General features: G+C 38.2%; 1 protein-coding gene and 1 pseudogene across 22 annotated transcripts in view, besides 2 other annotated features; one reads left to right on the top strand and one right to left on the bottom strand.

The window, feature by feature from the left end:
• Window positions 1,751-2,455: an enhancer, noted in NCBI's record as "OCT4-NANOG-H3K27ac hESC enhancer chr17:30555279-30555983 (GRCh37/hg19 assembly coordinates)". NCBI's record gives its function as "activates a minimal SCP1, AML or CMV promoter by ChIP-STARR-seq in primed H9 embryonic stem cells {active_cell/tissue: H9 hESC(primed)}" and the evidence as "EXISTENCE:reporter gene assay evidence [ECO:0000049][PMID:30033119]".
• Window positions 2,456-3,162: an enhancer, noted in NCBI's record as "OCT4-NANOG-H3K27ac hESC enhancer chr17:30554572-30555278 (GRCh37/hg19 assembly coordinates)". NCBI's record gives its function as "activates a minimal SCP1, AML or CMV promoter by ChIP-STARR-seq in primed H9 embryonic stem cells {active_cell/tissue: H9 hESC(primed)}" and the evidence as "EXISTENCE:reporter gene assay evidence [ECO:0000049][PMID:30033119]".
• Window positions 2,529-2,938, top strand: UBL5P2 (ubiquitin like 5 pseudogene 2; annotated as a pseudogene).
• Window positions 4,988-19,368, bottom strand: part of RHOT1 (ras homolog family member T1) — an 83,226-nt gene continuing 68,845 nt past the window's right edge. For 15 of the 22 annotated variants that reach the window (NM_001288758.2, NM_001033567.3, NM_001033568.3 and 12 more), the window contains one exon: window positions 4,988-6,099. In NM_001288758.2, the coding sequence (NP_001275687.1) occupies window positions 5,982-6,099 (118 nt within the window). In that variant the 3' untranslated portion in view covers window positions 4,988-5,981. Of the gene's footprint in view, window positions 6,100-9,528; window positions 9,667-13,334; window positions 17,998-19,368 lie in introns of those variants that run through there. The other 7 variants (XM_011524969.3, XM_047436356.1, XM_011524973.3 and 4 more) reach the window with 5 other exon arrangements.

Raw genomic sequence — 19,368 nt, 5'->3', positions numbered from 1 at the left:
AGCCTCCCAAAGTGCTGGGATTACAGGTGTGAGCCACCGCGCCTGGCTAGTTTCCACATTTTTAGATGGTTAAGAAAATCAAAATAAGAATATTTTCTGGTACATAAAAATGATACAAAACTCACATTTCTGTGTCCATAAATAAAGTTTCATTAGAATGAAGTAATTCATTTGCTTATGTATTGTCTATGACTGTTTTCATGCTACAACAGAGTTGAGTAGTTGTGAAAGTCTCAAATATTTACTATCTGGCCCTTTGCAGAAAAAGTTTGCGACTTATAACTTAAACTGCAGTATACACATTCATGTCATCCTAATAAAACTCCTAAGGGTTGATTATAATACACTTATATGGGCCGGGCACGGTGGCTCCCGCCTGTAATCAATCCCAGCACTTTGGGAAGCCGAGGTGGGCAGATCACCTGAGGTCAGGAGTTCGAGACCAGCCTGGCCAACATGGTGAAACCGCATCTCTACTAAAAATACAAAAATTAGCTGGGCATGGTGGCAGGCACCTGTAATTCCAGCTACTCGGGAGGCTGAGGCAGGAGAATCATTTGAACCTGGGAGGTGGAGGTTGCGGTGAGCTGAGATGGCGCCATTGCACTCCAGCCTGGGCAACAAGAGCGAAACTCCGTCTCAAAAAAATAAAAAACACTTATATGTAAACTATAAATAGGAAAATGCTGAAAGAGAAACACACTGTTCTTGCGGAATTTGGAATTTTCAATGTATGAAAACGATACTGGCAATTCCTCCTTGTGTGTACACAGCTGACATTCAGCTTTCAAACCCAGAAGGACTAACAATCTCTCGATTTCGCCATTGGACCTCTGCAACTGTCTATGCTAAAGAAGATAAAATTGGCCGGGCGTGGTAACAAAAATTAGCTGGGCATGGTGGCACATGCCTGTAATCCCAGCTACTCAGGAGGCTGAGGCAGGAGAATCACATGAAGCCGGGAGGCAGAGGTTTCAGTGAGCCGAGTGGCACCGTTGGGAGACTCTGTCTCAAATAAAATAAAATCTTGCCTTCTAGTAAGATACTTTCTGAACCCAAAATATCTGGGACAAATGGTCTGACAAGTCTGAGTGCCATGGGAGCAAGAGGATATTTTATGAAACTGAGATGCACTAGAGAAACCTGAGATACACAGCTGTGATACTCACAGGTCAGACTTCCACAGAGCTGAGGGCCAAGCAGGTTAACAGACACTCGCTCTCACTGACAGCAATGTTTGATAAAAAGAGTTAAAAAGACATGAATTACTTGCAACCTTAGGGGTTTAAATAAGTGTGTTATTGGACTGTAGATCTGGGGATAAAGGCATTGGAAAGGTCAAGCTGCCTGCATGGGTCATTCTCATACTGTGAACATTAAATTTAGCATCTTGACGTGGTATTTCTCAAAAAGTATCTAGTCCCAAATCAGTTTCCTAAAAACACGTGGACTGTGAAAGTATGATTTAGGAATCTGGTATGTTGGTTAAAAAAATAAATAAAAAATAAGATATATTAAAGTATGAAGTCAAATAAACATGTTAATGGAACTAGATTACACACTTATTTTTAGGATTTGCACATATATTTTAAAGGCATCTTTGTACTGACTTTTACTAGTGCAATTCAGACAAAAGGGGCATCAAAACTAACCTAACAGCCAATGATAGGCAAAAAAAAAAAAAGCCAACCCCAGGTGCATTTTGAGGGCCTGTTTAGGAAAGAATTATGCTCTACCACAGAGATCGGGCACTTACATCTGCTTCCCTCTCTTTATTCATTATTCAGCTGCCTTCATAGATTGGGAAAGTTCTCATTTCATTCAAGACTGGCTCATCAGTATAGTTCTTTTTTTTTTTTTTTTTTTTTTTGAGACAGGGTCTCACTCTTGCCCAGGCTGGAGTGCAGTGGTGTGATCTCAGCTCACTGAAACCTCCAGCTCCTGAGTTCAAGGAATTCTCCTGCCTCAGCCTCCTGGGTAGCCGAGATTATAGGCATGTGCCACCAGGCCCGGCTTTTTTTTTTTTTTTTTTTTTTTTTGTATTTTTAGTAGAGACAGCGTTTCACCGTGTTGGTCAGGCTGGTCTCAAACTCCTGACCTCAAATGATCCGCCCGCCTTCGTCTCCTAAAGTGCTGGGATTACAGGCATGAGCCACTGTGCCCAGCCTCATCAGTATATTTCTTCTTTGGTGCCTTCCCCTGGCAGATGATGTGCATATATGCACTGATACCCAAAGTCCTCCTACCACTTTCATAGGCCATTTCAGAATGGTCATGTGCTCCCCAAATTCCTAATATCAGAGCCCACTCCTACCGTAGCATTATCAGTGCCAACAATGCGAGAAATTGCTCATTTTTTGGTCAAATGTGAAAGAGAAAGACATGAATAGCAAGAAGCAACAGATCCCTGATATAGTTACTACATTATGCTAGGACTACAAACCTTCAAAGCAATGCTTCTTCACACAACTGCCTTATTATTCATTAAGGCACTGCAGCCTCAGAATTGCCCATTTGAAAGACAATGCTGAGGAGCTAGTGGCCTCACAGATTCCAGGCGATTTGAGCTCTAGCTAGGATGCAAGGCAATTCGAGCTCCAGCTAGGATGATCGAGGTTGTTTGCAACGACCGTCTGGGGAAAAAGGTCCACGTTAAATGCAACACGGATGATACCATCGGGGACCTTAAGAAGCTGATTGCAGCCTAAACTGGCACCCGTTGGAACAAGATTGTCCTGAAGAAGTGGTACACAATTTTTAAGGACCATGTGTCTCTGGGGGACTATGAAATCCACAATGGGATGAACCTGGAGCTTTATTATCAAAAGATGAGAATCCTCATCTTCCTGCTGCCCCACTCTCCTCTCCCATCCTCACCCCGCACACTGGGATAGATGCTTGTTTGTAAAAACTCACCTTAATAAATACTTAGATGTTGAAAAAATAAAAATAAAAAATAAAAGACAATGCTTTGGGAAGCTGAGGCAGGCGGATCACCTGAGGTCAGGAGTTTGAGACCAGCCTGGCCAACATGGTGAAACCCCGTCTCTACTAAAAAAAAAAAAAAAAAAAAAAAAAAAATTAGCCGGGCATGGTGGTGGGCGCCTGTAGTCCCAGCTACTCGGGAGGCTGAGGTTGCAATGAGCCATGATTGTGCCACTGCACTCTAGCCTGGGTAACAGAGCAAGACTCTGTCTCAAAAGAAAAAAAAAAAAGACAATCCAACTGGTGTAAAGTGAAAGATCTCCTTTCGACTCTCAAGTTCCTATTTTCTTTATTTCTCCTTAGTACTCTTAAAGCTTGCATCTCCTGAGTAAACTGTAAAAGCCAGAAAAAGCCTTTTCTTGTGTTCACATTATTTTCTCACATTCACTAGTCTCTAAAGTGGATGCAAAATGAAGAAAAATAGGCCAGGCCTGGTGGCTCATACTTATAATCCCAGCTCATACCTATAATCCCAGGCAGAAGGATCACTTGAGCTCTGGAGTTTGAGACCAGCCTGTGCAACAGAGTGAGACCTCATCTCTACTAAAAAATTTTTTAAAAAATTAGCCAGGTGTGGTGGCACATGCCTGTAGCCCCGGCTACTTGGAGGCTGAGGAGGGTGGATTGCTTGAGCACACAAGGTCAAGGTTGCAGTGAGCTGTGATTACGCCCCTGCATTCCAGCCCTGGCAACAGAGCAAGACTCTGTCTCCAAAAGAAAGAAAAAACCCATATGTGCCTGTAGGTTAAAGATGAGAAAACAGTAAGCATTCCCTCTACTAATTCGCCCCACCTGGAGTGATTGACAAGTGAGGAAAGGGGCTAGCTTAGCAAGGGGGTGTGTCCAGAGCAAGTGCAAGATAGGGCAGCTGCCCCCTGCCTTCTTCTGAACCAAAGAAATGTAAGCTCCCCAAATGAAAAGATGGAGAGAGAATATCTAAATATATAAACACACCACTTATTAACTCTTGGTAAGCTAGCTTCTTACCTCTGCTTCTCACAAACACAACAATCTATAAAGCATATTCATTTAAAGCAGTATTTCAGACAAACTAGAAAAGAACTTGGAAAAAATTAACTGTCATTGCAAACTATACAACTGACATAAATTTGGTAAGTGGGAAATTCTCAGAAAATAATAAAAAATGAGGAGTCAGGCCGGGTGTGGTGGCTCACACCTGTAATCCCAGCACTGTGGGAGGCTGAGATGGAAAGATCACTTGAGCCCAGGAATTCAAGGATGCAGTGAGCTATGATCGCGCCACTGCACTCTAGCCTGAGCAACAGAGTAAGACCTTATCAAAAAATAACAAATAACAAATGAAGTGTCATGTTATTTTGCCAGCTAGTAAGCTATACTGTTACTAGTTGCTCAAGAAGTGTGATCTTGTAAGAAAATGTCCCTCAGAATGGCAAAGAGGAAAAATCATGTTAAAGGAGAAAATAAACATGCAAACAATAGCAGAAACCACATTAATTAGCTATGTGTAGGGAAAACAATTGGCCTTTTACCAGAATAGATTTCTCTACAACTTTTAAATAAATTTCCTCTTACATATATAAATCATACTTGACTTTTTTCCTAATAAGTTTTTTTTTTTTTTTTTTTTGAGGTATACTTTCACTCTTGTTGCCCAGGCTGGAGTGCAATGGCGTGATCTTGGCTCACTGCAATCTCCACCTCCTCCCAGGTTCAAACGATTCTCCTGCCTCAGCCTCCCAAGTAGCTGGGATTACAGGCATGCGCCACCATGCCCAGCTAATTTTTTTTATTTAGTAGAGACAGGGTTTCACCATGTTGGTCAGGCTGGTCTCAAACTCCTGACCTCAGGTGATCCACCCACCTCGGCCTCCCAAAGTGCTGGGATTACACGATTGAGCCACCACTCCCGGCTGAGTATTCCTTTTATACAGAATAATTTTCAATATGAGAGATAGAAACCAGAGGACTTCACTCACATCTGTACAGAAATATTTACTTTAGATGACAAAAGAACTCAAGATCACAGTACACAGCAGTTATTTATTTAAATACTTGAAAAGGCTGATGATGGAAAAAATAGGTTTATCATGAGAGTTTATATTCATTAGATTTATTTTATCATTTAAAAAATTACTGCCTCTAGGTTATCCTAGCCTGATATAGAACACTTGGTGACACATGCAGTTACTGTAATATACTATAACAGACACAGCCATTATAGAATGATTTACACTTGGGATGAAATTCAACAGTAGTAAGGGTGACTCTTTATTTAAACTAAAAACATTGGTAATATACAAATTTTTTTTTTATTTCATTGAAAGGGCTATAAAATTCAACATACTGACAAGGAAGCAACATAATCACATAGATAACGCCTCTGCTAATTGCTTTTACCTAACTTCACCCTTAAAGGTGAGCTGCACACTCAGCTACACAAGTTTCTAGACTGTGCGATGGCTTCAAGGCTGGCCTACCACAACTGACTGAAAAAATGTCATGTTGGTAAGCTGACACTGACTTGTATGTTTTTAAAAATGGAGAGACAATGGCAAATTGTACCTTATGTCCTTATAGAACCCAAAGGATCATTCTGAGTAAATGTGAAATAAATAAAGTGATCCATGAGTAAATACAATCTCTGGGCTAACTTAAACCTAGAAGAGTGAGCCAAGTGAGCACTAACAATACCACTTAGAAATGTCTAGAAACATCATTTCTAGAACTCAGCTTGGGAGACCATATCTTGCCTGAATATGTACATATATTTACAAAATATTCCCTTTTGGCCTCTGGAATTTAGCCATTTTAGTTTGGCTGTTAGCTGTTTTCTTTCCATATGCTAGCCAATACTGCAGTTATAACTATCATTAAAATACTCTTATGCATGAATTACAAATATTAATAAAGTAACTCTGCATGTATAAATATCTCAATAATTCTAGCAGAACTTAAAGCATTCAGAATGTACATAAAAGTATTTGTTTTTGGTAGGGACAGTATTTCTTTTTATATCATCGCTGTTTCAATAATGCTTTGTACATAGCAAAGCCCAAAACTGCAAAAACAGTAGCACCAAAACTTGCTCGAAGCCAAAACGTGGAGCTCTTGAGGTCAGCTTGTGTCACGTGCCTGCAGTCAGAAAATATAATTATTATTTAAAACATGATTAGTATGAAAACCCTATACCAGTTATTTAGCAGTCTACTTTTAGGGAAGTATTAGCACACTTGTCAAGCTAACTGCATACAGTAATGCTTATCAAAAACATTGATCAATATAGCCATATATATAATTACTTAATCATTACTTTAAGAAAATGACACAATGTAGATACTAATAAAGACAATTAGCTACTTTGTGGGAGTAGACATCTAAATTTGTAAACTTTTTTTCACACAGGAAATAAAGAAGTTAGACAAATCAATCTAGCATTTTATAATACCGTTACGGTTGTTCAAAATGAAAATTAAGGCGGTGTTCCCACAATTTTGAGGATCATATTCATGGTTAAATAATGTGCAATCTCCTATCCCCAGGAACTGAAAGCTATTTTGTAAGCAGTTAAGTGACAAGTGACAATACTTTTCTAAGAGAAATGATTAAAGTCAACTTTGGAAACACTGAGCCTCATAAAAATTTACAAAAAACCCCCCAAAAAACCCGAAGGGGGAGGGGAAGATTTATCAGTTTGCATTAATTTGGTTACTGCTAATTAAAGAGAAAAAAACCAATCCCTGGTGTTAGACAGGCAGTGATAATGATACCAACTAACAGACATAACGTAATGTGATGGATTGAAAGGCAATGACATAAAATAAGCCATAGTATGCATGACAAGAACAGGGACAGCCTGTACCACAAACTGAGTTGTGAGCATGCTCAGTAAGTACCCTCAAGAGTCTCAAGTATGACAGCTTACCATGAAGAGGATAAAGCTCTAAAGAAAAGGTCAGAACATTTTATTTAAATGTCACTGAAGTCTTAGTTACTAAGTGAACACAATTGAGATGATGTAGAAAACTTAAAAAATTGGCCGGGTGCAGTGGCTCATGCCTGTAATCCCAGCACTTCGGAGGCTGAGGCGGGTGGATCACCTGAGGTCAGGAGTTCGAGACTGGCCTGGCCAACATGGTGAAACCCCGTCTCTACTAAAAATATAAAAAGTGGCCGGGCATGGTGGTGGGTGCCTGTAATCCCAGCTACTTGGGAGGCTGAGGCAGGAGAATTGCTTGAACCTAGAAGACGGAGTTTGCAGTGAGCCGACACGGTGCCACTGCACTCCAGCCTGGGTGACAGAGTGAGACTCTATCGCAAAAAAAAAAAAAAAGAAAGAAAAGAAAACTTACAAAATTAAGAGCTTAGAGAGACTGTCTAGTTTAGGTTATTTTATAACTAAGTTAAACAGATTTGAAGCAAAAGTCAGATATCATTAAAAGACCAAGGCACTGACATATGCAAAAGAGTTAAGAGCCAAGAATTCAAACTGCACAAAACTACTTTGCCTCAGTAATAGTCAAAGAGAACAGATTAGTTATCACAAAATAGTCTGTACATCCCTAGAAACAAAAGTCTACAACACAAGCCAGAGTGCTCCATGCTTAACACAACAAAGCAAGACACAACACTCCAATTCTCACCCTCACCAGTTTCTATTTAAAAAAAAAAAATCACTCCTCACATAATTATTTCTTACAAAGCAAAGTGATATCACAGGTTCATTCCAGCTTGCAAGTTAGTTTTTCCAACAGGCAGCATTTTATTAAAAAAAAAGTCAGAGAAGAAAATGCTTAGGTTTTTCAAGCTGGAAAAACTCCAACGAGGCCAACCCATTGGAAATGTTACCTGGCTTCAAGAAAAAGTGGACCATGAGATGACTCCATGAAGATGGAATCTTCTACAGAGCTGACAGCATGCACCTGGTGAGTAATACTGCCCTCATCGTCTGCTAACAGCATGGCACCCCACTCAGCTATCCGGGCTCTTAACCTTTTATACACATGCACACAGTTTGCAGTTCACAGCAGAGCTCACAAAAAAAGGGACTCAAAATAACATCTCTCAATTATGCATCCCACACATAAATTGAGTTGCCACCCTATATGATGGATCTCATGTTTTCTATATTTAAAATAAATGTATTCTATAGCAAATTGCCAAACTTAAAAAAAAAATCTATCTGTATGTACTCTGTTAACAAACACACACACACACCCACTCCAGACAAGGAAACCTAAAGCTGTTATATACATTCTCTAAACATCCCTATGAGGCTGGTCTTGGTGCATCTGAAATACCAAGTCCTTTAAACCAATACCATAAGCAGTACCTGACAACACGTAGTAACCATAAGTATTCAACAGAAATGAGGTTAACAACGATTAGTCGTGAAGTTTACAGATGATTATAACTTTGGGTTATCAAAAACTACAAATATATATCTGTGAAAAAATTGAGTCCAACATCCCAAACTCACAGACCGCCATGGACCTATGATGAGAGTAACAGAAGTTTACAACTCCAAGTCAATGCAGATGCATAGAATTTAAAGTCAGAGCGTAGGTAAAGGTGCATTAGAGGTTTCTCTTCATCTTTGGCCTCCCTGTGATTATCATGCATCTGCACTGATGGAGATTTTTTATCTTATTTTTACATTTTTACATTTATTTTTTAACTTAGGAGGAAAAAAGAATTAGGATTTAAGCTAGCTATAATCATATTAAAATCAATCAAAATGATTTCTCATAGATAGTCTTCAAATATAGATATCTGTTTCACAGATATGTGGTTTCTTGTTTGTTTGTTTGTTGATAGAGATGAAGTCTCACTATGTTGTCCAGGCTGGTCTTGAACTCCTGAGCTCAAGCAATCCTTCCACCTTGGCCTCTCTAACTGCTGGAACTACAGGCTGGTCTCCCTTGTGTTTTAAGACACATGAAATAATATATTCTGACTGACCTTATTGCTTAGTTTTCTTTTGCATTTCAAGATCAATATAGATACATGTTCAAGATACAGCTAGTTTAAAACTTAAGGTAACTATTAACTTATAAAATATATTTCGATGGCTCCATCAATGTCACAGTAGCTGTTTAAGACACTTTTAGACATGGAAAGTTACTTACAGAACTATTTTACACCTGTACCACCTGCATTTAAAGGCTGCACTACCAGGCTCTATTTATAAAAGAGAAAGCATTTAAAATGGAGGGCACGCTTATCATTGCTTAACCTGAATAGAGAATAATGTGGTCTCACATGTATTCCAAAAGTATCAAAAACTAATTCATGTTTGTCCTTTCAGTTTTCAAACAGAGGCAAGTACAGTTTCATAAAGCTTCTGGCTCATTTCTTTCTTTCTTTTTTTTTTTTTTTTTGAGACAGACGAAATCTCACTCTGTCACTAGGCTGGAGTGCAGTGATGCGATCTCAGCAAACTGCAACCTCCGCCTCCCAAGTTCAAATGATTCTCCTGCCTCAGCCTTCCAAGTAGCTGGGACTACAGGTACATGCCACCACACCCAGCTAATTTTTGTATTTTTAGTAGAGACAGGGTTTTACCGTGTTGGCCACGATGGTCTCGATCTCCTGATCTCAGGTGATCCACCCACCTCGGCTTCCGAAAGTGCTGAGATTACAGGCGTGAGCCACCACGCCTGGCCGCTTCTGGCTCATTTCTAAACTTAAGCAGAAATAATTCTTCCACAATTCAAAAGCATAATTCTTTCAAAATGACTTATAGAAAATATCATCTTAGAATAACTTATAGTATCTTACTGCATAGTTTTTCTTTCTAAAGTTTACTTTATTTTCAAATATAAAAAAGCTAATATACACTCATTAGAAAATAAGGCAAAGTAAGAAAAAAAATCATTTATGTTACCCAAGGCAACAAATTAAAAGGTCAGGTATTTCCTTTTAGACTTTTTTTTTTTTTTTTTTGAGACAGAGTCTCGCAATCTCAGCTCACTGCAACCTCCACCTCCCAGCTTCCAGTCACTCTTGTGCCTCAGTCTCCCGAGTAGCTGGGATTACAGGCGTGCACCACCATGCCCAGCTAATTTTTGGTATTTTTAGTAGAGATGGGGTTTCACCATGTTGACCAGGCTGGTCTCAAACTCCTGACCTCAAGTGATCTGTCTGCCTCAGCCTCCCAAAGTGCTGGGATTACAGGAGTGAGCCACTGTGCCCAGCCCCTTTTAGACTTTTTCTATGTATTTTTTACACAGCTGCAAACACAATGTGTGTATATTTCTATATATTTTTCACACGTGTTATAAGGTATGGACTTCTTCATCAATTATGGAAACATTCTAAATAGCTGGATTATATTCTATTCTCCTATTGCTGGCTATCTCCTTTTATTTTATTATTTTACTTTTCAGAGACAGCGTCTTGCTCTGTCACCCAGGCTGGATAGTGCAGTGGTGCAATCCTAGCTCACCGTAGCCTCGAACTCCTGAGCTCAAGTGATCTTCCTGCTTTAGCCACATAAGTAGCTGGGACTACAGGTGTGTGCCATCATGCCTGGATAATTTTCATTTTTCTTGTAGAGATGGGGTCTTGCTATGTTGCACAGGCCAGTCTTGAACTCCTGGCCTCAGCCTCCCAAAGAGCTGGGATTACAGGCATAAGCCACCATGCCCAACCTGGCTATCTCCATTTATTTGTGGCTACAAAAAAAAGACTATCTTTCTACATAAAATTTTTCTCTATATTTAGGATGTTTTCATTAAGATAGACTTTCCAGAATTAAATGTTACAAGGTCAAAAATGTGTACGTGTGTCTATGTATAAAGGTTTTTTTTCTAACCTAGTGATATATCAAAATCACCAAACCTTCCTACTCTATGTGGAATAAGATCATTTAGTTAAGCAGTATCTCTTTTTAGAACATTAGAAATAATGACTAAATGTTGAATATAACCCTAACTAATCATTCGCAGTTTGTTAGAGCTTTCAAGTTCTTAGGTGAAAATTCCTGTGTCTGGGATGTTGGCTTTCTGGCTTAGAAGTGCTGAAGGCCCATTAATGTATCAGACGTCAAGTTCTCCTTGACACAGGTGTAGGAGCCAACCAACACGTCTGGACTTGGGTTTTATTAAGGCCACTACTTAATAATGCAGAGAGAAGAAAATGTTGCAAAATTCAGGTAATAAAGAGTTAAACGAACAACTGTGTGAACTGTGAACAGTCACACAAGGCATATGCAGACTGGCCAAAATTCCTATGTACCTTTGCACTGAATATCTTTAGTGCAAGGGCATACAAAATACTTTTAATTAATTCTGCAACTTAAGGTGAATATAAAAACATGAACTGGTTGGGCACAGAGGCTCACACTGTAATCCCAGATCTTTGGGGGGCTGAAGTTGGAGGGCTGCTTAAGACCAGGAGTTCAAGACCAGCCTGGGCAACATAGCGGAAGGGTAAGAATTCAGAAATTGTTACCCAGATATCAATTAACCTTGTCTTAGACTGTAAGCTATTATGCAGAGGAAAAGAAAAGTTCAGTAGAAAATACTGAAAAGAAGCAAAACTGAGAGATTTTACTCAGAGGAGCTCCAGAGAGTCATTTTTATCAGTCTTCCCACACAATTTCTCAGAAATGTATTTGAATTTCCTATTTTTCACTCCTCTCATCTCCCCACCTTATTCTTTCCAAAATACAACTAAGAGATGTACAAATGCACTAATGTGAATGGTCTTCTAATTTTACAACTCTACCCATATATATATCTCAGGTATAGATTTTTAAGATAATACCCTAAAACAACCAATATAACTGTAATAGAAGTGTATCTAAAGTTACCAGGGCACAGAGATACCATATTTAGCTTTTTCTCATTTGTAATTACGTATCTCAAGTTGAAAACTATACTGAGGTCACCAAACTACAGTAAATTTTTCTGTCTTTATTTATTTATTTATTCAGAGACAGGGTCTCACTCTATCACCCAGGCTGGAATGCAATGGCATGAACACAGCTCACTGCAGCCTCAACCTCCTGGGCTCAGGTGATCCTCCTGCCTCAGCCTCCCATGTAGCTGGGACCCCAAGTGCGTGCTACCATACCTGGCTAATTTATGATTTTTTGTAGAGATGGGGGTCTTAATACAACTTTGTTGCCCAGGCTGGTCTGGAACTCCTGGGCTTACAGAATCCTACTGTCTCGATCTCCAAAAGTGCTCAAATTATGAGTGTGAAACACTGTGCCCAGCTCTGTTTTTTTTTTTTTTTTCAGACAGGATCTCATTGTGTCACCCAGGCTACAGTACAGTGGCACAAACACAGCTCACTACAGCTTTGACCTCCTGGGCTCAAGCAAACCTCTCACCTCAGTCTCCTATGTAGCTGGGACCACAGGTGTGAGCCATCACACCCAGCTTGTTTTAAAATTTTTTTATTTTTTTAAATTTTTTGTAGAGACAGGCTCTCACTTTGTGACCCAGGCTGGTCCTGAACTCCTGAGCTCAAGTGATCCTCCTGCCTCTGCCTCCCAAAGTGCTGGGATTAGACGCATGAGCCACTGCGCTTGGCCCTTTTCTATTTTCAAATATTCCACTTAAAAAAAAAGTCTTCTGAGGACGGGCATGGTGGCCCATGCCTGTAATCCCAGCACTTTGGGAGGCCGAGGTAGCCAGATCACATGAGGTTAGGAGTTCGAGATCAGCCTGGCCAACATGGTGAAACCCGTCTCTACTAAAAATACAAAAAATTAGCCAGGTGTGGTGGTGCATACCTGTAATCCCAGCTACTTGGGAGGCTGAGACAGGAGAATCACTTGAACCTGGGAGGTGGGGGTTGCGATGAGCTGAGATAGGGCCACTGCACTCCAGCCTGGGCAACAGAGTGAGATTCTATCTCAAAATAAATAAATAAATAAATAAAATAAAATATTAAAAATTAAAAAAAGTCTTCTGGACTCTCTGCTTTTGTTTCTCCAAATGTTTCAATCTGGTGAAGTATTTTCTTTCTTTCTTTTTTTTTTTTTGAGATGGAGTCTTGGTCTGTCACCAGTCTGGAGTGCAGTGGTGCAATCTTGGCTCACTGCAACCTCCGCCTCCCGGGTTCAAGCAATTCTCCTGCCTCAGCCTCCCAAGTAGCTGGGACTACAGGTGCGCACCACCACGCCCAGCTAATTTTTGTATTTTTAGTAGAGATGGGGTTTCACCATGTTGGCCAGGATGGTCTCAATCTCTTGACCTCGTGATCTGCCCTCCTCGGCCTCCCAAAGTGCTGGGATTACAGGCGTGAGCCAAGGCGCCTGGCTGTATTTTCTGTATCTACTTTTAAAAATAATGCCACTACTGCTAATAACAATTTTAAAAAGGACAATTCTCCTAACTGAGCCAATAGGCATAAAATATTTTAATAGGATATTTATTAGGATAAACATATATTAGGATAAATATTTAATAGGATAAAATAGGTTAAGGAATCAATACACAGTGTCTAGCAGCTTCAACACAAACCATAAGCAAGCTGTTAACTGAGCACGCCTAAATAGTAACATACTTTGGGAAACGACACAGGTGTGCACTAATGTCAAGAAATGCTTCACCAAGCATTAGAAGAATCTGAATTTACAGATGATCATGAATACAAAGGAAATGCTCCAATATCTATATGTTAACTAGTGATACTTAAAGATCAGATAAGGCAAACTTCACCTTGTCATGTCCTTTAATATATTAACCAAATGACAAAAAATTTAAAAATTATAAGCAGCAGCAGCTTACTTAATGAAAATCTATAACATAAACTCTTGTATAACTTTAAATATATGACTATGTATACAAATTCACAAACAGTCTTATAAGGACCTTCATACAAGGGAATAAATAAGTTTCATAAGAAACTAAAGCAGGACTTCCTTGGACAAAATATTTTACTATAACGTAATATCCCAAAGACTCTTAGATTTCCAACATTTAACAACATTAAGATTTTTAGAAACCTATCCTTTTCATAAGGCAATCCTATGAAAAAGCAGTTCATTTTTGTCTGACAATAATAAAATCCTTTCTTCAATAAAGGGCTCCTATATTAAGTAATGAATTCAAACTACATAAAGGAAGAACTTGGGTGATTATTAAAGCAATATGGGTAAATGAAGTCATTAATGAGTGGCTTAAAAGTCACACATATATTTAATCTAAAAATACATTATAAATAGGGTAAAAAATGCAATAGGTATGATGTCTATCCATCATACTTTTGGGTCTCTGTAAATATTCGGTGTGAACTATGCACTTGGTTGTCAAAATAAAATGCTGCTACTGAACTTAAGAAGTAACATGAACCAACAACTTATATGGCTAATGCAAATAATAAAATAGAATGAAAGAAATCCTAAAACCAAAATATGCACAAAGGAAATCACGCCCAAAGAATAAACTGTAAAATAAGCAATATTTGATTAAATAACAGGTTAGAAGTGGTGAGATTATACACAAAAACCTAGCTGGGAAGGAGATTGAGAGTATCAAAAAATGACTAAGTTACACAAACAAACAAATGAAAACAAACACCTAAAAAAGGACAAATTAAAGTTCACGATACACTACAATCTAGTAACATTCTCATGCAAAGCAGGAGTGTTCTCAAGTCAGAGTAATAAATACTTAATAAATAAAAATCCTGGGTAGTTCAAACCAACAATCAAGCTCATCTATATATAATCATTTTCAAATTTAAAAGATATTTAAAATTTAAAATATATTCAAAAGGTCTTTTTCTCCAGTAACGTAATTTATACCACTTGAAATGAAAGCAGTCCCAAAGATTAAAATCATCTGACCACATGTTACTCATCCTCCACATGTATTCAAATTCAAATAATTCCAGTTATTCATAAATTAGTCTAAAGTAAAACATAAACCTATCCAGATCTGAGTGAGCTCATAATTACCAAGAGAAAGATTACATGTGAGATAGATGTATGTTTAACACTACTCTCACACATCAAAGTTAATATACGTTCAATTAAATTGGAAATAAAAATTTTTAATTCATTCTTTCTATACTTAAAATATATCGTGTTAGTAAATAAGTTCAGGAAAAAAGACAATTTTTTTCTCATAAAAGGAAAAACACTTGCAGAAATTAACCTCTTGAAACTGCCTAAATTCATTATCAGGTTATATAGCACTTTCCTTTTTAGCATGAAGGACTAACATCACTGAAAATATAACCAAAGTTAAAAAATGTTTTTCTTAGAGAAATAATATTTAGAAAGATGCTTAAAGGCAGGTTCCATATATTCTTCATTTTCAAATTTTGCCCCAGTTCACAGCAGGTTCCTATTTAAAGCAGGTACTTAAATTAAGTACTCTGAATGAATAAATCACATCAAGGTGGGGTTAGGGGACAGTGGGGTAATAAGAGAATGTGGTCTCAAACATGTATCATATCTGGTAGTAATTTCTATTTCAGTGACCAAAATTTTTACAAGCACACTAAAACAATGTGCTGATTTGAGACCAATACTTGTCTACTAATTTAATTCTTTGTAGACATTCAATGAAACTTTTTACTTAAATAAAAATGACAGCTGGGTGCGGTGGCTCACAGCTGTAATCCCAGCACTTTGGGAGGCTGAGGCTGGCAGACCACCTGAAGTCAGGAGTTCGAGACCAGTTTGAGACATGGCGAAACTAAAAATACAAAAATTAGCCGGGCAAAGTGGCACATGCCTGTGGTCCCAGCTACTCCGGAGGCTGAGGCACGAGAATCACTTGAACCTGGGAGGTGGAGGTTGCAGTGAGCCGAGATCATGCCACTGCACTCCCGCCTGGGTGGCAGGGTGAGACTCCATCTCAAAAAAAAAAAAAAAAAAAAAAAAAAAAAAGACAAGCCTTTTAGAACTGCTCTTTCACAATTCTAAATCAAACACTAAGCATGGTAGTTCTGATATCTAAAAACAAAGACTTAGGACCTAGTGTTAGGTGAGAACCCTCCCTATGAATAAAATACAGTGAAAAAATTTTAAATGACTTTTACTTAGTCAATCAATCTTTTTTGTGCCTAACATTAGGATATGTCTAACACAGGAAACCAATAGTGACCAACCAGTAACAGCTGCCAAAACCTGAGAAGTAACAGGGAAAGGTGGTTCCATTCTCATCCCACCACCCAATAACTTTTTCAAATTTTTCATGGGAAAGGAGTAAAGTGGTGGTGGTGGTGATGGGACCAGAGACATTTTCATTCTATGTGTCCTTTTCCTTGGCCTCTATTTTCATGACTAGGCCATACCTTAAGACTGAGGTTGCAAGCTGGTGGACTATAAACATGCTTTGTTCTGATTAGTACTTAAAAATTTGTTAATTAATTGCTAATCTCTAACAATCTGGAAATTTCACACCAAAGCCTTGATTTCCAGTCTCTTGTAAAACCAGAAAACCTGGCAACACCAGACCTGTACAACAACAAACGGCCAGAGCTGAGTGGTGGCTGCCTCTTTTAGACAGTGCCTGTCACAGTCCCCACCTCTCCTTGTTTCTTATACTTGGCCACCTTCATTCTTTTACAGTATCCATCCGGGACCTGTGGGCACTGAGTTTTTGGCCCCCACCTACCTATCTTACTTACCTTTCATAAACTAGAAGAAACTCCAATACGCAGCCCCTAAAATTCCACTGTACTTCTCTTAAATAAATGATTGAAATACTAACGGGGATAAGGAAGGAGTGTTTGAAAAGTATACTGGTTCCTCTACTTGTCGTTTTCATTCTTTCCATTCTTGATTACCAGATGTCAGGATGTGTGCTGACATCACCATTAAATTACTACCAGTTTATAAATAGATATGACCGAAACGTACTGATTTCTCTTTGAGGGCCATTGTATAATTTACTATGCACAATAGTATTCATTTAATGCACATCTGTCCTATTTCATTTGAAAGCTAACTAAATCAATTTTATTTGAAAGCTAACTAAACCAATCTAGGAATAAAATTGTCACCAGGGACACAGACAATGAATCAATCTGTAATTATGGACAATCAAGAGTTTCTAGAATAGGTAATAAAATAGGTGGTTTGTGATCAGCAATTACGGGGAGCCAAGGTGAGTTCACCAAAATAAGACATCAAATAGATGTTGCTTGCTAATTAGATAAAATTATGATATTGGTAGATCAGAGGAATATGGAAGAAATTATATACTGATTTTAGAAAAATCCTTCATGAAATATCTGATAAGACAGGAAGACAAAATGTGGGCTGGATAATAACATATTTTTCATTGACTGAAAAATCCTTCCCCAAGAATTTTGAACCTGTCATTGACAAAGAGTTCTCTGGTGGAATACTATAGGGCTTGCTCAGTTTAGCACTCTCTCTCTCTCCAACCTCTGGGTATTCAACATCATTTTTTATCAGTAACTTGAAAAACAGTACATATCTACCAAATCTGCAAATAACACAATGCTTAGAGAAATATATAATGGGACAAATGACAGAAATAATGTTTGAAATGACTGAGCTAGAACAAATGGATCAAAAAGAAGAATATGACATTTAATAGAGATATATATGTATCTGCATTTAGATTTAAAGCATCAACTAAAAAATGTCAAATACACATCAGAAAGGAGGGGACATCTGTCTCTTCATATGAAAAACATCTGACTTTAATTAGCCCCAAGACAATATATGTCAACAGTGGGATGGGACTGCCAAAAAGTTAATTCATGCCCTAGACAGATGCTGTCCTAATTGTGAAAAACAGCTGCCCACTGTTCTGGACTAGTCGCACTACAACTGCAACACTGCTTTCTATTCTTGGTGGCACCTTTTAAGAGGTACTGTGAAAACCTAAGGGGCTTTCAGATGAAGACAACCAGGAATGATAAGTTCACTAAACCATCTAATTTAAGAAAAGGCTGAAAGAAATGGGGATGTTCTACCTGGAGAAGAGAAAATTAGGGGAGACATGATGGCCGTCTTCAAATGCCTGAAGGATTGCTATGTTGAAGAGGGAGTAGGATAGTCGTATGTTGTTCTAAAGGGCAGAACTAAAACTAAAGAGAGAAAGTTATAGGGAAAACATTTAGTTAAAAAAAAATAATAAAAGCAAAAGCAAAAATGCTTTCCAATGAGGCAAGCCATCAGCAGATAAACAGCACTCTCTCAGGAAGGCTTGCAGGAAGGCATTCTAACAGGAGGTTAGGCCAGATGAATTCTAGAATCTCTTCCAACTCAACGATTCCCAACACTGGAGCACCTGAGTGTTGTTTGGTTTGAACTAGCCTTGCATTTTCTGTCAGTCATCATGAGAGAATCTGTCTATGTTACTACTTTACAAGGTGCTAAAGCACAGAAGCAGAACTTTGCCACCAAATGGGTGCGGTGATCCCTTCAAAGCAGTCACCTGAGATGGTTGCATTCTTATTCCAGAGCTGTTAGTGCTCGAAACATCACTGAAACTCTCAGAATGCCTTCAAAATCAGTTTCTGACTCACAGAAGAAATAAACTCACTGTTTCATAGACACATCCACTATATTGCTGGTGGATACAAACTATGGTCATTTGATACAGTTAAAGTCTAGCCCTCAGTGAGTGTCCAATGGTGAGCCAAATAACTGACCCATTTCTAACCAAAATTGAATATTTAGCTTGATCTTAATCAAGCCCAGCTCCCAAAGACTTTTAAATGATTTCAAAAACCTAATGCATACACATATGACATCAGGTACAAATTAGTATTCAGCTCTTAAATGCTCAAAAAATGTAAAACTGATTTGAACAAAGGTAGCATGATCAGCATAAGAATACAACCTTCCAAGATTATTGCTTTGAGGGAATATATGCATCCTTTTTTTTTCTCTTTCTTTCTTAAAAGCGTGTTACTTTATAGGATTACTTCATGCTTTTGGTTCAATTATAAAGGCCTAAAAAAACAGTACTACAGATCTTTTTCTCTTTTCCACATTCCTTTGAGTTCTTAAAGTTGGTTATTATCCTCATGTCTAGAAACCATGTTCTTTCAAATAAACACTCCAGGTACTTAAAAGCAGATTATAATTATAAATGGTTTCAAGAATAGAATATTGTTTCAAACTCAAAATACTGTTTGCATTACTATGGTTTTAATGAGATATATTATTTCATTGTAAGCTGAGTACAGTATAATATCTTTCATTTAGGATTAATGTGTCTTTTCTTTACTACAAAAGTCCTAATCTATTAACTCACAGCCAAAAAATTTTAATTTCCCTATACATATTATCTTTTAATAGGAAAGATAATTTATCTTCCTTATGAAAAAAACATCCAAAATCTTATTTTATAGTCCTCTAAATATACCTATTAATTTAAAAACATTATTAAGGATGCTTCCAAAACTAAACATTGTCATCACAGTGAGAATTTTAGTGGAAGTTAGTTGGGC

This window comes from Homo sapiens, chromosome 17 (assembly GCF_000001405.40).
Source record: "Homo sapiens chromosome 17, GRCh38.p14 Primary Assembly".
Classification (NCBI taxonomy): Eukaryota; Metazoa; Chordata; class Mammalia; order Primates; family Hominidae; genus Homo; species Homo sapiens.
This window is presented reverse-complemented; position numbering and strand designations above follow the sequence as displayed.